Source organism: Homo sapiens, chromosome 11 (genome assembly GCF_000001405.40).
Source record: "Homo sapiens chromosome 11, GRCh38.p14 Primary Assembly".
NCBI classification, from domain to species: Eukaryota; Metazoa; Chordata; class Mammalia; order Primates; family Hominidae; genus Homo; species Homo sapiens.
In genome coordinates, this window is record NC_000011.10 from 73,036,906 (window position 1) to 73,057,110 (window position 20,205).

The following is a 20,205-nucleotide window of genomic DNA, read 5'->3' on the forward strand; positions in this document are numbered from 1 at the left end:
CATCAAAATCCATTACAAACGTTCATCTGTTAACGCGGATCTGTAATTAGATTTTAAATATTTCATCTTTGCAAATGTCTTCACACAGATAGGGACTGCCAAATACTGATATCAATTCAAGAGCATATGACTTTGAGCATATTCATCACCTGGAAGATATTTATAGAATTCTATTATATTCTTCTCTTGATACTCACATTTTTTAAAAATTACAGACTTCATATTTTTTAGAACAGTTTTAGGTTCATGGCAAAATTGAGAGAAAGGTACAGAGAGTTCCCATGTATCACTTGCCCCCACACATGCATAGCCTCCCCATTAACAACATCCCCCACCACAGTGGTACATTTACAATGGATGAACCTACACTGACACATAACACAGTCATCTGAAGTCCATGGTTTACACTAGGATTCTTAGTGCTGTACAGTCTATGTGTCTGGACAAACATATAGTGACATATCCATCATTACAGTATCATAGGGAGTTATTTTCACTGCCCTAAAAATCCCCTGTGCTCTGCTATTTGTCCCTTCCCCTTCATCCTCAACTTCTGGCAACTACTGATCTTTTTACTATCTCATAATTATGCCCAAAATTATTTTTTGCCTCTGAGTTTTTGATAGCAGCCTTTCTCTGGTATAGAATGCATTCTTTCTCCATATCCACACAATATTCTTGTCGTCTTTAGATATTCTAATCCCACTTACCATGTTTTCCTAAAAACTTAGGGCCCATACTGATTATGTTATGAATGTGGCCATTTAATCATATAAGTCAGATATAGCCCTATTGATAGTATATATTTGTAACTTTTATGCATACCTATCTTACTTTGTCAAATGGGTTTTACATTCTGAATATAGGAGTCCTCATTACCTTGTAACCCTCCAAAAGCAATCACACTTGTTATGCATAGAGCAGAACCTCAAACATAGTGGACAACTTTAGGAAAAGAAGAAGGCAGTTCTCTGGGATATCCAGAGCATAACCTTTTATATCCAATCCCTCACCAATTTCACACTAAAGAGTGGGAAACTTATTTTATTTTTATATGAAATATGTGAAACATAGGGATTACTCTGATGAAAAGATTCACCAAGTCAAGCTTTTTCCACAAACAAGTCTTCTGCTAGATGCTAAAATAGTTTTCCAGCTGAAATATTAAAAACAAAACCATCTATCACTAAAAAATTCTTATGACGAGGTGGGAAGATTGCTTGAGGCCAGGAGTTCAAGCCAAGCCTAGGCAACAAGGAGATCTGTCTCTATTAAAAAATTTAAAAATTAACTGGGCGTGGTAGTGCATGCCTCTAGTCTCAACTACTCAGGAGGCTGAAATGGGAAGATCGCTTGAGCCCAGGAGTTTGAAGCTGCAGTGAGCTATGATTGTGCCACTGCACTCCAGCCTGGGTGACAGAGTAAGACCCTGTCTCTTTAAGAAAAAAAAAAAAAAAGGAAAAGAAATTCTGATGACTGATTGATTCTTAAAGGGACCTTATAATTTATCCAGTCGAATCCTCTCAGATCAAGAAAAATGGGCAGTGACTCAAGATCACTCACCACTGATGGGCACCTGTGGTACATATACAGCGTGGATACTATGCAGCCATGAAAAGAATGAAATCTTGTCCTTTGTAGCAACATGAATGTAGCTGGCAACGATTATCCTAAGCAAACTAACACAGAAACAGAAAACCAAATACCACATGTTCTCATATCTAAGTGGGAGCTAAACATTGAATACAAATGGACATAAACATGGGAATAATAAACACTAGGGAATCCAAGAGCAGGGAGTGAGGCAGGGGCAAGGGTTGAAAAAATAATTAGGCATGCTCACTACCTGGGTGATAGATTCATTCATACTCCAAACCTCGGCATCATGCAATATATTTTTGTAACAAACCTGTACATGTATTCCCCTGATTCTAAAATAAAAGTTGAAAAAAAAGATCTGTCACCAAGTAATAAGGCCAATATCCATATAAATTATGACATGCCTCCCACTTTAGTGTTCTTTTTCCAGTACATTTTTTTGGCTTGACTTCTGTAATGACCCCCAGCCTAGTATTCATAATCTTCTATCAAGTTGTATCAACTTAGTATCTTCCAAGTGTATCTCCTTACTTCTTTCTAATATTACTTAAGTCTCCATAATAATTGCAGAATCACTGTTTATTTTTATCTGCAACCAGTTTCAAACTGGAATATCCGTGTATTCCAAATCCTATCTATTCCTAAGAGTCTAGTTCAAGACTGTCTCACTGGGAGTAAGCAATTCCTTTAGGATTCCTCATAAACCTACCTCCATAACAGAACCTAACTTTCTGCAGGGTGCAGTGCTCACACCTGTAAGCCCAGCACTTTGGGAAGCAGAGGTGGGCGGATCACTTGAGGTCAGGAGTTGGAGACCAGCCTAGACAAAATGGTGAAATCCCATCTCTACTAAAAATACGAAAATTAGCTGGGCATGGTGGGGCGTGCCTGTAGTCCTAGCTACTCCAGAGGCAGAGGTGAGAGACTCGCTTGAACCCGGGAGATGGAGGTAGCAGTGAGCCGAGACATGCCAATGCATTCCAGCCTGGGCAACAGAGAGAGACTCCGTCTCCAAAAAAAAAAAGAAAGAAAGAAAAGAAATATTAATATGTCACATGTAAGTTTGTCACAGGTGAATTTTAAAAATGTGTAAGTATGTATTCATTATAGGTTAAATGTAGCTGATTAATAAAATTACTCAACACAGCAATATATGCATTATTAGGACAAAAACTTCCTAAATTCACAGGTGAGTCACTGGATTCATTATCAAGGATAACGAATGATGCAGGACTTGTTCTTACATCAAGATCTTAGATGTGTCTTCTTTTTTGATGACTTTAAGTGTTTAATTATTCCACATAAGTAAAACAGACTGCTAGAAAAAGACAACAATTAATTTATAATTTATAGAATAACGAATGCAAATCATTTTGAAGTTTCTTTTTAAATTTTCATATCCCTAATTAATATTCATGAGGATATCACAAAAGCAGTTATAAAACTATACCAAAGATGATATGGAAATACATAGTTGTGCCAGTGGAAAAAGAAGAAAATTTTTCTCCCAGCAAAATGGAGGACTTACGTTGAACACAATGTTTCCTAAATAATAGTTTCATATTATTTTAACCAAATTATCCATTACTCAGAAATAACACTGTGGATAACCAGATAATGTTACACAAAGGCTGAGTTCATTTGTTTTGGACAGGTGGCCAGTCTGCAGCTCTGTGTCAGCAGCCCAAACCCACCCACAATGGCCCCAAAGACGATTATGCAAATGCCAACCAACCCAGCTCTTTTCCCAGGAACAGGAGAAGCCCTCCTACTAGAAGCTGTAATTGTTTCGCAGTCATGTGGAAAAACAAAAAGAGGGGTGTTTTGTTTTTTGTTTTTTGCCAGAGGCAGAGTGTTTTCATTAAGGGCACTATTACAATACATGTGAGATGTATAAACACATACACACAGATACACATTTGTATGTGTCTGGTGTATATTTCTCAAACACCATACAGTTTATTCCATCCTCCTTCCCAAGTCTTGTTGAGCAGATCTACCTCTTATCAATATCAAGTCCATTCTGTTGGTGATACCTTCCCTTGTCAATAAGATATATAAAGAAATGAACAAACTTTCGGTTTTACAATTTTTTGTTACATAATAATTGTACACATTTAAGGGGCACACATGATATTTTGATACACATATTCAATATGTAATGATCAAATCAAGGTATTTAGGATATTTATCATCTCAAACATTTATCATTTCTTCATGTTGGAAATATTTCAAATCATGTATTCTAATTATTTTGAAAGACATATTGTTGTTGATTACACTAATCCGACTGTGCTATAAAATACTAAAACGTATTCCTTCTATTTAACTGTATATTTGTACCCATTAACCAATCTTCCCTTCAACCTTCCCACAAACTGCTCCCCCCCCTCTTTGGTAACTATCATTCTACTCTCAATCTCCATGACAGCAACTTTTTTAGCTCCCACATATCAGTGAGTGAGAACATGTGATATTTGTCTTTCTGTGCCTGGCTTATTTCGCTTAACATAATGACCTCCAGTTCCATCCATGTTGCTATAAATGACAGAATTTCATTCTTTTTTATGGCTAAATAGTATTCCATTGTGTATATAAACCATATTTTCTTTATCCATTCATCTGTTGATGGACACGTAGGTTGATTCCATAACTTGGCTACTATGAATAGTGCTGCAACAAACTTGGGGGTGCAGATATCCCTTCGATATACTGATTTCCTTTCTTTGGATAAATATCCAGTAATGAGATTGCTGGATCATACGGTAGTTCTATTTTTAGTTTTTTGAGAAACTTCCATACTGTTTTCCATAGTAGCTATACTAATTTACATTCCTACCAACAATGTATAAGAGTTACCTTTTATCTGCATCCTTGCCAACAGTTTTTTGTTGTTGTTCTTTTTAATAATCACCATTCTGACTGAGGTAAGATGATATCTCATTGTGGTTTTGATTTTCATTTCCCTGATGATTAGTGATGCTGAGCATTTTTTCATATACCTACTGGCCATGTATATGTCTTTTTTTGAGAAATGTCTATTCATATCCTTTCCCAACTTGTTAATGGGATAATTTATGGAGTTTTTTTGTTTGTTTGTTTGCTACTGAGTTGAGTTTCTTATATATTCTGGATATTAGTCCTTTATTAAACGAATACTTGCAAATACCTTCTCCCATTCTACAGGTTGTCTCTTCACTATGTTGACTGTTTCTTTGATGTGCAGAAGCTTTTTAATTTAATATAGTCCTATTTTTCAATTTTGTGTTTTGGTTTGTTCACAGTTTTGTGTTTGGTTTGTGAGGTTTTAGCCATAAAATTTTTGCCTAGGCCAATGTCCTGGAGTATTTCCTCTATGTTTTATGTCAGTAGTTTTATAGTTTTGGGTCCTAGGTTTAAGTCTAATCCACTTTGAGATTATTATTATTTATTTATGTTTTTGAGACAGAGTCTCACTCGTCACCCAGGTTGGAGTGCAGTGGCGCGATCTCAGCTCACTGCAACCTCTGCTTCCTGGGTTCAAGTGATTCTCCTGCCTTGACCTCCCAAGTAGCTGGGATTACAGGTGCCCACCATCACACCCAGCTAATTTTTTTATTTTTAGTAGAGACAGGGTTTCACTGTGTTGGCCAGGCTGGTCTTCAACTCCTGACTTCAGGTGATCCACCCACCTCAGCCTCCCAGTGTTGGGACTACAGGCATGCGCCACTGCACCCGGCTGAGATTATTTTTAAACTCTGGTGAAAGACAGGGGTCATTCTTCCGCATATGGATATTCAGCTTTCCCAGTAGCATTTATTAAAGATGGTATCCTTTCCCCAATATAAGTTATTGGCACCTTTGTCAAAAATCAGTTGGCAGTAAAATATGTGAGTTTATTTCTAGGTTACTTAATCCATCCCATTGTTCTATGTGTCTGTATTTATATCAATACCATGCTGTTTTGGTTACAATAGCTTTGTAGAATATTTTGAAGTCAGGTACTGTGACGATTCCAGCTTTGTTCCTTTTGCTCAGGATTGCTTTGGCTATTGAGGTCTTCTGCGGTTCCATACAATTTTTAGAATTGTTTTTTCTATTTCTATGAAGAATGTCACTAGTATCTTGATAGAGACTGCATTGAATCTGTTGATTGCTTTGGGTAGAATGGTCATGTTAACAATGTTCATTCTTCCAGTCCATAAGCATGAGATACCTTTCCATTTTGTGTGTTCTCTTTAATTTTTTTCATCAGTGTTTTGCGGTTTTTTGTTGTAGGTCTTTCATCTCCTTGGTTAAATTTATTCCTAGGAATTTTACTTTTTTCTAGCTATTATAAATTTGAGGCTTTCTTGATTTCTTTTTCTGCTAGTTCATTATTGGTATATAGAAATGCTACTGATTTTTGTATGGTGATTTTGTATCCTGCAATTCTACTGAATTCATTTTTCAGTTCAAAGAGTTTTTTGTTGGAATCTTTAGGCTTTTCTATATATGAGGTCATGTCATCTGCAAAGAAGGACAATTTGACTTTCTCTTTTCCTATTTAGATGCCTTGAATTTCTTTCTCTTGACTGATGCTCTGGCTAGAACTTCTGCCACAACGCTGAATAGGAGTGGTGAAAGTGGGCATCCTTGTCTTACTCCACTTCTTAAAGGAAAGGCTTTCAGCCTTTCCCTATTCAGTATGATGTTAGCTGTGCGTCTGTCATACATAGCCTTTATTTTGCTGAGGTATGTTCTTTCTATGCCCAGTCTGTTGAGAGATTTTATCATGAAGGAATTTTTACTTCTCTTCATCACAGATTAAATCACTAAAAGGCTCGGTCAAGTAGTGAAGATAAATATTATCAGTTTCCATAAGCAAGTATTTATCATCCTATCCACTTTTCTGGGCAACCTGTCAAGTAATGTATAATTTAAATTTTCTATTTGCTTAATTGTTCTTTTCCATTTTGGTAAGCAGATCCACCAACTATTTGTGTAATTAAAGGAATTAATCAGTTAAATTACATACAACTTTTATTGTTGTCTTTAAAAACTGACCCAATGTACACAGTATAGATAAAATATATTCAGATTTAGAAACCCATTTTGGTACTTTTAAATTAAATATATGTCAGAGATAGCTTGCTTTACCAGTATCCCCATTCTCCTCTTTTCCAAGGCATATACATAGAAGAAATTTTCCAGCCTCCTTTAAAATTAGATGTGACTATGTGACTGAGTTTTGGCCAAGGAAATATTAAGAGATATGATATGTGTTACATTCAGTTCTGATCCACCATAACCTCCACGTACCATCTTTTTTTTCCTTCCTCTCTGCTAGCTAGATGTAGAGGATCCATTGAGGACTTGAGGCCCTAAAGGATCTAGAAATCTCAAGATCAAAGGAGCCTGGACTAAAGGATCTAGGAACCTCAAGATTAAAGGAGCCTGGATCATTGAATCATCATCCCTTGGAAGGCCATTCACCAATTTTGGCAACAAACTATTAGGTGAGTGAGAAATAAATTTCTTTTTATAAGCCTCAGTGATTTGGGAGTTGTTGGTTAAACAATTAGCCTATCCAAATGAACACAGTATATTTACCAGTGAGATCCTATATTTACAACGGATTCCAAATTTGTTACCACTGATACATCCAAGGCCTGCTACTATATGTCACCTTTGTATAAATCAAACAAAGAGACCATTTTAATAGATACATTTTACTCTTAAACTGAACTGTAAAATTCTATGATTATTGCCTCACTTATTAACGCTGAATTCCTCAATTAAAAAAAAACTTATGAATATTTCCAAAGTCAGAGGCTGAGTGTGGTGTCTTATATCTGTAATCCCAATGCTTTGGGAAGCCAAGGTAGGAGTATCGCTTGAGCCCAGGAGTTTGAGACCAGCCTGGGCAACACAGTGAGGCCCTCTATCTCTACACAAAATTTAAAAATTAGATGGGCATGGTGGCACACACCTATAGTCCTAGCTACTCAGGAGGCTGAAGTGAGATCACTTGTGCCCAGGAGTTTGAGGCTGCAGCGAGCTATGATCATGCCATTGCACTCCAGCCTGGGTGACAGAGTGAGACCCCAGTCCCTTAAAAAAGTCACTCATAAATCTTAATTCTATTAATCTACAATAATAGAATTCAAACTCTGTCCTTAAGAGATTAAGCATACATGTGCTAGATACAACATTAAAATTAGGCAAATGCTGGGTAAATACTATATAGAAAACAGTGCACATAGTACATGCAATAATTTAACATTCTAGCATGTTATATAAAAATCATCTAACACTAAGGATGGGGCTGGGCACAGTGGCTCACGCCTGTAATCCCAGTACTTTGGGAGGCCGAGGCAGGTGGATCACGAGGTCAGGAGATCGAGACCATCCTGACTAACACAGTGAAACCCCATCTCTACTAAAAATACAAAAAATTAGCCGGGTGTGGTGACACGTGCCTGTAATCCTGGTTACTCAGCAGGCTGAGGCAAGAGAATCACTTGAACCTGGGAGGCGGAGGTTGCAGTGAGCCGAGATCGCTCCACTGCACTCCAGCCTGGGCGACAGAGCAAGACTCCATCTCAAAAAAAAAAAAAAAGAATGGGGTAAAAGTGGGCAAAGGTCATGAACAGACACTTCTCAAAAGAAGACATTTATGCAGCCAAAAAACACATGAAAAAATGCTCATCATCACTGGCCATCAGAGAAATGCAAATTAAAACCACAATGAGATACCATCTCACACCAGTTAGAATGGCGATCATTAAAAAGTCAGGAAACAACAGGTGCTGGAGAGGATGTGGAGAAATAGGAACACTTTTACACTGTTGGTGGGACTGTAAACTAGTTCAACCATTGTGGAAGTCAGTGTGGCGATTCCTCAGGGATCTAGAACTAGAAATACCATTTGACCCAGCCATCCCATTACTGGGTATATACCCAAAGGACTATAAATCATGCTGCTATAAAGACACATGCACACGTATGTTTATTGTGGCACTATTCACCATAGCAGAGACTTGGAACCAACCCAGATGTCCAACAATGATAGAATGGATTAAGAAAATGTGGCACATATACACCATGGAATACTATGCAGCCATAAAAAATGATGAGTTCATGTCCTTTGTAGGGACATGGATGAAATTGGAAATCATCATTCTCAGTAAACTATCGCAAGAACAAAAAACCAAACACCGCATATTCTCACTCATAGGTGGGAACTGAACAATGAGATCACATGGACACAGGAAGGGGAACATCACACTCTGGGGACTGTTGTGGGGTGGGGGGAGCGGGGAGGGATAGCATTGGGAGATATACCTAATGCTAGATGATGAGTTAGTGGGTGCAGCCACCAGCATGGCACATGTATACATATGTAACTAACCTGCACAATGTGCACATGTACCCTAAAACTTAAAGTATAATAATAAAAGAAAAAAAAATGGAAGGAAAGCAAAAAACATCTCTTGCTTATATTTCTACAATAATTTCAGTAATTTTTTTTTTTTTTTTTTTAGAGACAGGGTCTCATTTTGTCACCTAGGCTGAAGTGCAGTGGCAGGATCATAGCTCACTGCCACTTCGAATTACTGGACTCAAGGGATACTGTGGCCTCAGCCTCTGAAGTAGCTGGGACTAAAGACACACACCATGATGCCATGCTGATTTTTTAATGTTTTGTAAAGACAGGGGTCTTGCCATCTTGCCCAGGCTACAATCGAATTCCTGTGCTCAAGCAATTCTCCCACCTTGGCCTCCCAAAGCACTGGGATTACAGGTGCAAGCCACCATCCCCAGCCTCTGTAAGAATTTTTGAAAAGCCTTATGAACTGATTTTAAAAAGAAAACAATTAATAATAAAAAAGATATGAATGGCCAATACAGCAAGAATGCATTGTAAATAGCTACAAACATTGGAATATGTCTGAATACCAATTTTCATAGAAAGGAAACAAAATTAGATATCATTTTTGGCCCAGGATGGCAAAAATTTAATGACTGGCAGCATCCACTCCTGGTAAGATAGGATGCACCACATTACTATAAATTATTGGTAGAAATATAAATTGGTGTAGCATTTTAAATTTTTATTAGTAATCAAGTTTTTAAAAATGTTTTTACCTACTAATATCTATTAAAATTTTAAATATAGATAGACTTCGCTTACAAGGAAGCCATTTTCAGAACTGCTAAAATAAAAGCACAAGTATAACAAGATAAATAAGTACATTTATTGTAGTATGTGTATTTGTTTGTTTATTGATTGATTGATTAAGACAGGGATTTCACCATGTTGCCCAGGCTGGTCTTGAACTCCTGGCCAAAAACGATCCTCCTACCTCTGCCTCCCAAAATCTTGAGATTACAATCGTAAGCTACCATGCCCAGTCACAGTATTGCTTTAAACAACTTAAATCAATAGGATGTAGATCAAAATATGTGGATGTTAAATAATTTATATCCACAATACGAACTATGATGCTGTCAATAAAATGAGGTCTTTCTGTATTCACTTTGGGAAAATATCAATGATATTTTTATCAATGATAAAAAATACTATTAAATATAAAAGACAAGATGCAGAATAAATGTGAATATAATTCTACTTTTTTATAAAGGAAAAACTACATATTAAATGAGTACACATAAAAGGAAAAGATTTATACCAAACATGACTGTAAATTTGAAAAAAAAAGGCAAATATTTCATGTACCACCCATATTATTTGAATTGTTAAAACTACCATTTTTTTTTTAATTAAAGAAAAAGATTCTTATGAAACAGGATGTCAAAATATCTGGTAGAAGCTACATACCTAAATGATAGGGAAGAAAAGTGGTCAGCTTCACTGTTTTTACTGCATCTTATTCAAGGTTATAAGAAAAAAATATGATCCCCTATAATACTCAAAAGCATGATTTGTACTTGGGATTATATTTTGAAAAAATTAACTGAGAGAAAAACAGAGCACAAGCAATTCTATCCTTTGTTTTGGATTCACATCCCCAGATAGAACAAAAAATACTGGTCATTGACAGTACCTAGCCACTGCCAAGGATAATGCAAAAAGAAATCCTGAAATAAAGTATTAACCTATCAAATAACATAAAACACATCTAAAAACTGTTCCATGATTTCTAACGGCAAATATTTATGCTCTTTCTTTCAGAAATGGGATTAGAACCCCCTTCTCTTTTCCTTTCATTTGGCATCAATGTGACCCCAACAAGTACTTTCTAGGTCTAGGACTATCAAAATGCTATAAAATGTATTGACTTTTTTATAATGTGCAAAGCACTGTATCCCTCAGAATTTACTCAGTAAATATTTGCTAATGACTGTATATACAAATGATGGTGAGCTAATGACTTTGTTATCTCATTTAAGCTTAGCAACAACTGTGAGTTATTTATTAATCCCAATATGCAGAGGGGGAAATGGCTTAAGTAATTTATGTAGAGTGATTATGTTAACAAATGGTGGAGCCATAATTAGAACTCTAATGGTCTTATTCTATATTGTTTCTTTAAGTAGTACATACTGTGAAAACATGAGTTATTTCTAAAAAGGCAGGAAGTTAAAAAAAAAATACAGGAGGAACAAGAAAACAGAACAGAAAGTAATAGAAAAACTTGACAATGTTAGCATATCAAACTGCAAAAAGTAAAAATCTGACCCAAAGCATTTGAGGCATAGCTAGAGCAGCAGGATATTTCTGTATATCCTGTTTAGCCAACTGTAGTTCCTTTCTTCAGCGGCATCCCTCAGCTCATGCCATGTACCGACACACATATGGGACCCAAAAGTTACCTCTGATCTCCCTTAAGCCAAGGTTCATGATAGTCTAGTACTGGCTTGTTATTTACAGGTACTAGGCATTTCAGAGATAATTCCTGCAAAACAGAATGGCTTGGTTAGCTGTGTATGGACCAGCTATTGCTGAATCAATACTCTGTAACAACTCAAAAAGTGGAAATGGATTAAAACAATAAATGCTAACTTCTGCTCATGAATCTGCAGGTTGGCTAGAGCATCTCTGCTTCAGGTTGCAGGGTCAAGTTCAGGTATCCTTCACATATCTTTCATTCTGGGACCCCATCTGAAGTAGTTACCTGGGGCAAGTTCTTCTTACAGTAAGTGCCGGAAGTACGAAAAAGCTGGAAATAACTTGCCATGCCTCTTAAAGCCTCATTTTAGAAATGGCTTTACAGTCAATTCCATCTCCATTCTACTAGTCCAAGCAAGCCGTATGACCAAGTCTAAAATCAGTAAGACAGGGATGTATGTATAGTTCACCTCAAGAGAAAGGGTGGGGAATGAATATTTGCTGAGCAATAATTCAATCTACCATAAACTCTAAGAAAAATTCCCAGAACAATTTCACTTGGATTCAATAACGACCACACAAACATAGCAAGATGTTGATCGAGTAACTCATTGCTATCAAATTCTCACATGACAAAGAGCTATGAAGAACAGTAAATATTTAAATAACAGAATCAAGATGCTAAAACTTCTCAACATACTGACACAGTGGAATAAACCTAATACAATAGAATCTCAAAGGAGTAAAAAGTCCTGCCATGGGTTCAGCGTAGGATGGTGAAGATCTGATTTAATAGCAAGATATGTAAAAAGACGTAGTGGTTTTTGAGTTTGAGCTCATTAAGAACCTTTAATGTGATATCACTGTTTAAAAAATAATGCCACTTAGCACATATTTAAAGTAATAATAACACAGTTGAGTGCCCAGTATATATGAAGTACATAGTAAAACTTTAAGGAAAAAATTAAAACATGACAGAAACTGTCTCATACCCACAACAATATTAAATTTGGTTCTGATTTCTGTATCAATGGCTTAAGAATAATGACAAGAAACAAGATAGGTAAAAGGTTTAAAACAGTTTCATAGGACGTTCAAGTGTGAACTAAATAAACTACAAATTTTTATGATTGGAAAGACTGGGAATGGGATGTAGACTACTAGAAAGAGATAAGAAGTATAAAAATTGTTTTTATCACACTCTGGGGACTGTGGTGGGGTCGGGGGAGGGGGGAGGGATAGCATTGGGAGATATACCTAATGCTAGATGACACGTTAGTGGGTGCAGCGCACCAGCATGGCACATGTATACATATGTAACTAACCTGCACAATGTGCACATGTACCCTAAAACTTAGAGTATAATAAAAAAAAAAAAAAAAAGAAAAAGGGGGAAAGAGAGACACCTGAAGAGTTGGATAATTCTTTTATACTATGTAAGGCATATTTTAAAGGGCTACCATTTTTAGAGGGTACGTTCTTACCAACTTTTTAAGGAGAGGATAAAATTTTGTGAAATCAATATTATGGTTATTAAAAGCACAAAAGGACCATAAAAAAAAAATTGTTTTCAAATTCCTAAAAGTCTATCATGTGTACAAGGAAGGTTTCTTAAAAAAGTTTTGCTCAAGATAAATAGAAACTAACTATAAGCTGAATGCTTTGAGAGAGAGTGAAATACTGTCACTGAATGAATTCAGGTAGAAGTTGCCAGGCCTCTCTATATAAGAAGTCAGTAAACTTTTCTGTAAAAGGCCAGAGAGTAAATATTTTTGGCTCTGCAGGCCATAAGATCTCCAGGGCAACTACCCTAATATACTATTGTAGTGAGAAAGCAGCCATAGACAATATGTAAACAAATAGGTATGTCCGTGGTCTAACAAAACTTTACTTACAAAAACAGGTGTCAGACCAGACAGCCCTAGTTTGCCAGCCTCTATATTAAAAAGAGGGCTGGACCATATGACCTTCACACCACTTCTAGCTCCAAGTTTCCATAAAAAGTCATTAAGCAATTCAACAATATGTAGAAATAAGTGAAAAAGACGTATTTAGATTGATATAGAGACATATCATATGCAGACATATATGTACATTTATAAACCATATAGAAAGAATATTACTATAAACATATATGGGACGGGTCACCTTTATCACAATGGATTTGAGCTATAGCTGCTGAATATATAAGGCTCTTAAATAGTTCCTTTCGTGGGACAACATTGGAGTAATCAGAAAATAGACATAGGAACCCAGGCCCCCACAATGGTTTTTCAGTAACAGGTGAACAAATAAGACATAAACTAAGACTGCTGTCCTTAAACAAGCCTTTCCATATCCACATGGGGAGATAATGGGAACATCTGCAAATTGCCTGCTTAAAGTCCCTTTATATTGGTTGAACGTTATGTCTCCATTCACTAACATGAGGAAAAAACCGTCTCACTGAATCTCAAATACAGCAAATGAAAACTATAATTAAGTTTTACCAAAGGCCGAGAATATCTACTCTAAGAAAAATAATATAAGACTCAGAACACCCCTTCTTGCTACAATGGCCTTCTATTAGTCTCTAGATTAGAACAAAGGTCCTCCAACTGTTTGTTACTGATACATAACAGGCAAGTACAGAAATTGAGAGTAAGCATTTAGAAAGTTTTAAGCAATTTGACATCAGTTAGTTTGTTATCTATAATGGAAATATTTTAAAAATCTTGCTGGGCACAGTGGCTCATGCCTGTAATCCCAACATTTTGGGAGGCCAAGGTGGGAGGATCGCTTGAATCCAAGAGTTCAAGACTAGTCTGGGCTAACAAAGTGAGACCCTGTCTCTACCAAACTTTAAAAATTAGCAGGACGTGGTGTCACACATGGTGCTGCCAGTGGTGTTGCATGCTGAGGAGGGAAAATCAGTTGAACCCAGGGGATTGAGGCTACGGTGAGCCAAGATTGCATTATTGCACTTCAGATTGGGTGACAGAGTAAGACTCTAGCTCTAAAAAATAAAAAAATAAAAAATTTAAATCTGAGAAAATGTAAGCATATTTTCATAATCTGTCATTGTGTCATTTAAATTTTAATCAGCCTATAATTTATAATTTAATATTTTTAGCTAAATTAAGGAAGTAAATAGGTATTTTTACACCTAATTTACAAACAGAAAAAGTTTAATGGGCTTTCCTTGGCAAAAAAAGATAAAATGTCTCTGAATGAGGCAGAGGTAGTAAACCAAACAACAATGAAAGTAATTTCAAAGAAATAAAGACCAACGACTTTATACTATTTTACACAAAAGTATGACTGACAGCAAAGTTTAAAACCACTATGGGTTATCTGCAGAGATGTACTGGCTATGCAACAATAAAACCCTCAAAACCTAAGTAGTATTTATGCAAAAACCATATAGACATTCAAAACAACAAAAAAAATTTGAAATAAATAGTAGTGAATTGCAAAGCCAACAGAAGCAAATGTCTGCTATTTCAAATAAGTATTAGTGTTTTCAGGCTTTTTATATAATAGACCTTCAGGATGCTAACACGGTATATAAACACACACACACACACACACACACACACACACACACACACACACACACCCCACACACACTGACATCAGGGAAAAATTCCACCAAAGATGTTTGCTTGGAAATATTCAGTGAATCTGCAATAAAGAACCAATTTCCAATGACACCATAGTCTGATGAATTCAGGAACTGGTTAATGACATGGAAGACCAATTCACAGAACAAAGAAATTTAGTGACATGTTTTTAATTGAAACTTAATAAATGCAAAGATAGTATGGCATTTCCTTTGGTATATATGTGATCTGAACATGATGGTGCTGTGAAGGAAGAATTATTTTTCTGCTTCACTGCCAAACATAACGATTTCTAAACTGTACAAATCTATGAAAAATTATAAGTCAATAAACATGATTTGAGTTTAAATTTTGTGTAACGGTATATTCTGATGGTGCAATTGTAATGACAAGAAAGTATTCTGGAGCAGTTATCCAGATTAAGCCGTTTACTCCAGAGTGTAAATCAATGCATTGTTTCCATCATTGAGAAACTCTTGGTATAATTTTTTTTTTAAAAAAAGACACCTGTCTAAACAGTACGTTTAGTGACAATTAATAGTGTAATTGTGAATTACTTAAAGGCTAATGCAGTGTATTAGAGAGTACTCTCTTCACTGAGAGAGGATATGAAAACTAATTGTACACTACTGTTACTACATACTGAAGTTCCATGGTTGTCAAGGAGAAACACTGTCGAAAATAAACAATGAAACAAATTCTTAGTGTTTCTGCAAGATAAAAAAGTTTGGTCCTAATGTTTTAAAGGTGTGAATTGGACAATTGGATTTATTCATCTTATATATTCGGTATTTTTAATAATCTTCATACTTGTAAGAAAGGGATACAAGTATTTCTCAATGACCAATAAGATCAAAGGGCAAAAAAAGATGCTAATAGCATGAAAAGATCAGTTTCTACAGATATTTAGGACATATTCCATAATTTTCTCTTTTTTTCTTTTTGAGATGGAGTCTCACTCTGTTGCCCAGACTGGAGAGCAGTGGTGTGGTGTCAGCTCACTGCAACCACCGCCTCCTAGGTTCAGGTGATTCTCCTGCCTCAGCCTCCCAAGTAGCTGGGATTACAGATGCCCGCCACCACACCTAGCTAATTTTTGTATTTTTAGTAAGATGGGGTTTCACCATGTTGGCCAGACTAGTCTCAAACTCCTGGCCTCAAGTGATCTGCCCACCTCAGCCTCCCAAAGTGCTGGGATTACAGGAGTGAGCCACTGCACCCAGCCTTTTTTTTTTTTTTTTTTTTTGGTCCATAATTTTCAATGAAGTAGGTATAATCAGGTATGGTATATTTGTTGAAAAATTATCACTAACCTTACAAATTTGATAAAAACATTTTCAAATTTTTTCCACCAAAAGAAGATTCATACAAAAGAAATGTGTGGATCTACAACCTATTCATTGAGAGATAATTTAAATTTAACTGTAATTCCACAGGATAAATTATTGGAATTGACTACTAATGAAAGATAGAAAATGAATTCTGAAAAAAATCACTTGCTTCACCTTGGAAAAAAGTTAGACATGAATATCCTGAGCTTGCTAAAATTTCTTTTAAATCTAAATGTCTTCAGTTCACAGCAACATATTTTTAAATCTGGTTTCTCTAAACTGAGTGTTGTTAAAACAAAATATAGGAGTAGTATACAAATACGTTATCTCTTGTGAGTAGTACTGTCGTCAATCCAACCTAGATTAGATAAACTAATAGCAAAAAGCAAATCTATGTCATATTAAAATTGTTAAATATCCATATATACAATGTTTGTTTACAGTATGGGCATTTAATAAATGGAGAGCTGCAATTTTGCTTGGCTTTGTGTTTAGTTAGTATTACAGAATGACAAAAAAGTTATGACTATAGCAGCGATTCTCTATATTAATAGAAGATATCTTCAAGTAACAACATTTATGGTTCTTCTAATTGTTTTCTTTTTCCCTATGTATGACCATTTAAATTATAGATTGAAATGTAACTTGTTGTCTGTAATCTAAAAATTTTAACCATGTATTTTTTACTCATCCAATAATTCACTTTTATTGTATTTTACAAAAATGTCCATCTACAAATTTTAAGGGAAAAGGGGGGAAGAGTCCTCACAACAGATAGTTTGAGTGCACAGGTTGGCAAATTCTAGCCTGCTGTCTGTTTCACTAAATAAAGTTTGACTGGAAGACAGTCACATCCATTTGTTTGCCAATTGTCTATGGCTGCTTACACTCTACAACAGCAATGTTGGGAAATTTGACAGAGACCATATGGCCCTCAAAGCATAAAATATTTACTATCTGGTCCTTTGCAGAAAAAAAAAAAAAAGTTTGCCAATCTCTGCTCTGGATGGTTGAACATAACCCACTGGAATTACTTCTCTATTTTCCTTCCCAATCATTCAGTAAGCAAAGACAGGACTGCCCAGACCCTTAAAACGATTAAACATTCCAACACGCAGACAGGGGGCTAGAAAAAAAAAAGAAATTTAAATACCATTTAGGTATTTCCTGTGATAGGGAATGATGGGCATGTAAACCCTTCAATGTAGTCTCTGTCTCTTGGTATCCTAAAATTCCTGTCTATTTTGGATTTAAAAAGAATCGAAGTATAGTCTGATCCAGATAGGGGAAGAAGCACTAAATCTGGAAGACCCTAAAGAATCCCAGACACATAACAAGTATTCCAACTACAGGAGGGGAGGGAGGGATGGAGGTGGGGGAAACAAACAGAGGGGGTGGAGGAAAGAGAGAAAGGACCTTTTCCTGTTATAATTTTTTTTTTCAGACAGAGTCTTGGCTTTGTCACCCAGGCTGAAGTGCAGTGGCACAATCATGGCTCACTGCAGCCTTGACCTCCTGGTCTTAAGTGATCCCCCCCACCTCGGCCTCTAGAGTAGCTAGGACTACAGACATGTGGGCCTGGTGGCATGTGCCTGTAATCTCAGCTACTGGGGAGGCAGAGGTGGGAGGACTGCTTGAGACCAAGAGGTTGAAGCTCCAGTGGGCTGTTGTATTAGTCCATTCTCACGCTGCTAAATAAAGACATACTTGAGACTGGGTAGTTTATAAAAAGAGGTTTAATGGACTGTGGTTCCACGTGGCTGGGGAGGCCTCAAAATCATGGGGGAAGGCAAAAGGAGGAACAAAGGCTCATCCTACCTGGCGGTAGGCAAGAGAATGAGTGCCAGGAGGGAAAATGCCAGGCACTTATAAAAACCATCAGATCTCGAAAGAACTCACTATCATGAGAACAACAGGGGGAAAACCACCCCCATGATTCAATTACCTCCCACAGGGTGCCTCCTACAACATGTGTGGGGATTATGGGAGCTACAATTCAAGATGAGATTTGGGTGGGGACACAGCCAAACCGTATTAGCCATGATCACCCCACTGGACTCCAGCCTGGGCAACAGAGTGAGACCCTGTCTCGAAAAAAAAAAAAAATTCTGATAAAGAAACACTGAAGTAAATACTAATAATTCAAATACAAACAAATGGCAGAGCTGCCACTTTCTACCCATACAGAGCTCTTTATCAGGAGAAGTATACAATGACCATCCAATAAAATCTGATAAGAAATAAGACAAAGTTTTAAACCTTGAGATACAAGCTAATGATAGCAGAAAGTCATCAAAAGATACTGATATTTCAAAATAATATTTATTTCATTAAGATTTTATGCATATTTTATAATGTATACAATATATTAGTACAGAGTACATGTATGTTACAAATATATATATCACTTAAATTTTTTAATAGATAAAACATACCATCAAAAGATATTTGAAAACCATTATTTAAACAGACAATCTGTAGAGTAGAAAAGCAGAAATATCCTTTAAGAATACTGAAGTCCAAAAGGACAAACATCGTGATTCCATTTATATGAAGTATCTAGACTAGGCAAATTTATAGAAACAGAAAGTAGATTCAGGGGCTGTGGGAGGAGACAAAGGGGAATTACTGCTTAATGATTACAGAATATCTATTTGGGTTGATGAAAATGTTCTGGAAATAGTGGTGATAGTTGCACAACACTGTGAATGCCAATGAATTTTACCCTTAAAAATAGTTAAAATGATAAATTTTATGTTATGTATATTTTACCACAATAAAAAAAATCTGATCACAAGCCCCACCCCATAAAAAAAACTAAACTCATTCTCTCAGTTCAAATTAAATGCTTACTATCTTTGACCTACAACCTTGCTTCCCTAAGTGTCTTACTTATCTGGACCAGCAGATGTCCATTATACATTAATAGGTTAAGCGTCTTGTTAGTTTTATCAGGACATGTCTTCTGGGTAAACTGAAATTGAGTTTCTGGGCTTACGAGCCAAGGTAGGGGTCCTGTGCAACTGTGCCTAAAGTAAAGAGATGGTCTCCATCTTTAAAATCTCTTTGATGCAAACAAATTGCTAATTGATGTACAGGAGTTATTTTTTACTGCTAGGGAATACCGGTATTAGTAAAGAACACTGCTCATACCCCCAAAATGTAATCTTTTTAAAAATTATTTTTTGTCTCCCTAGATTCTAAAAGTCATACATGTTCACAATGAAAAAGGACTGTTTAGGTACATTTGTCTCTTCAACTTTGCTAAAATGAATCAATTTAATCTTTCAAATGGGGTAAATTTCACCTAAGGATTTATTATCATTCTCAGAACTTGAAACTATATTTCCTCATTCATTCATTCATTAAATAAACATTCACCATGCATTTAACACATACCAGAGACTATGCAAAATAGGTAGAGAAGAGAGCATAACAGAACAATAAGTCATATGACAGAAACAAAAGGTACTACAGGAGAGCACATGAGAGCCATCAAATTCAGACTGAGCAGCAACAGATGAGGGAATAAAATCCATAGATTGACAAGGCCGGGCGCGGTGGCTCACGCCTGTAATCCCAGCACTTTGGGAGGCCAAGGTGGGTGGATCACAGGGTCAGGAGATTGAGACCATCCTGGCTAACACAGTGAAACCCCATCTCTACTAAAAATACAAAAAAATTAGCCGGGCATGGTGGCAGGCGCCTGTAGTCCCAGCTACTTGGGAAACTGAGGCAGGAGAATGGCGTGAACCCAGGAGGCGGAGCTTGCAGTGAGCCGAGATCACACCACTGCACTCTAGCCTGGGCGACAGAGCAAGACTCCGACTCAAAAACTAAAAAATAAAATAAAATAAAT

At 36.4% G+C, this 20,205-nt stretch overlaps 1 protein-coding gene across 5 annotated transcripts in view; it reads right to left on the reverse strand.

Annotated features, from left to right (window-relative positions):
• FCHSD2 (FCH and double SH3 domains 2) overlaps positions 1–20,205 on the reverse strand; it is a 305,574-nt gene that overhangs the window by 200,161 nt on the left and 85,208 nt on the right. Inside the window, exon 1 of one of the 5 annotated variants that reach the window (XM_047427949.1) lies at positions 1–20,205. This exon is cut by the window's right edge and continues 19,986 nt beyond it. The exons of the other annotated variants lie outside the window; for them this stretch is intronic. The gene's annotated coding sequence lies outside the window, so the exon portion shown is untranslated. 5 annotated transcript variants of the gene reach the window in all.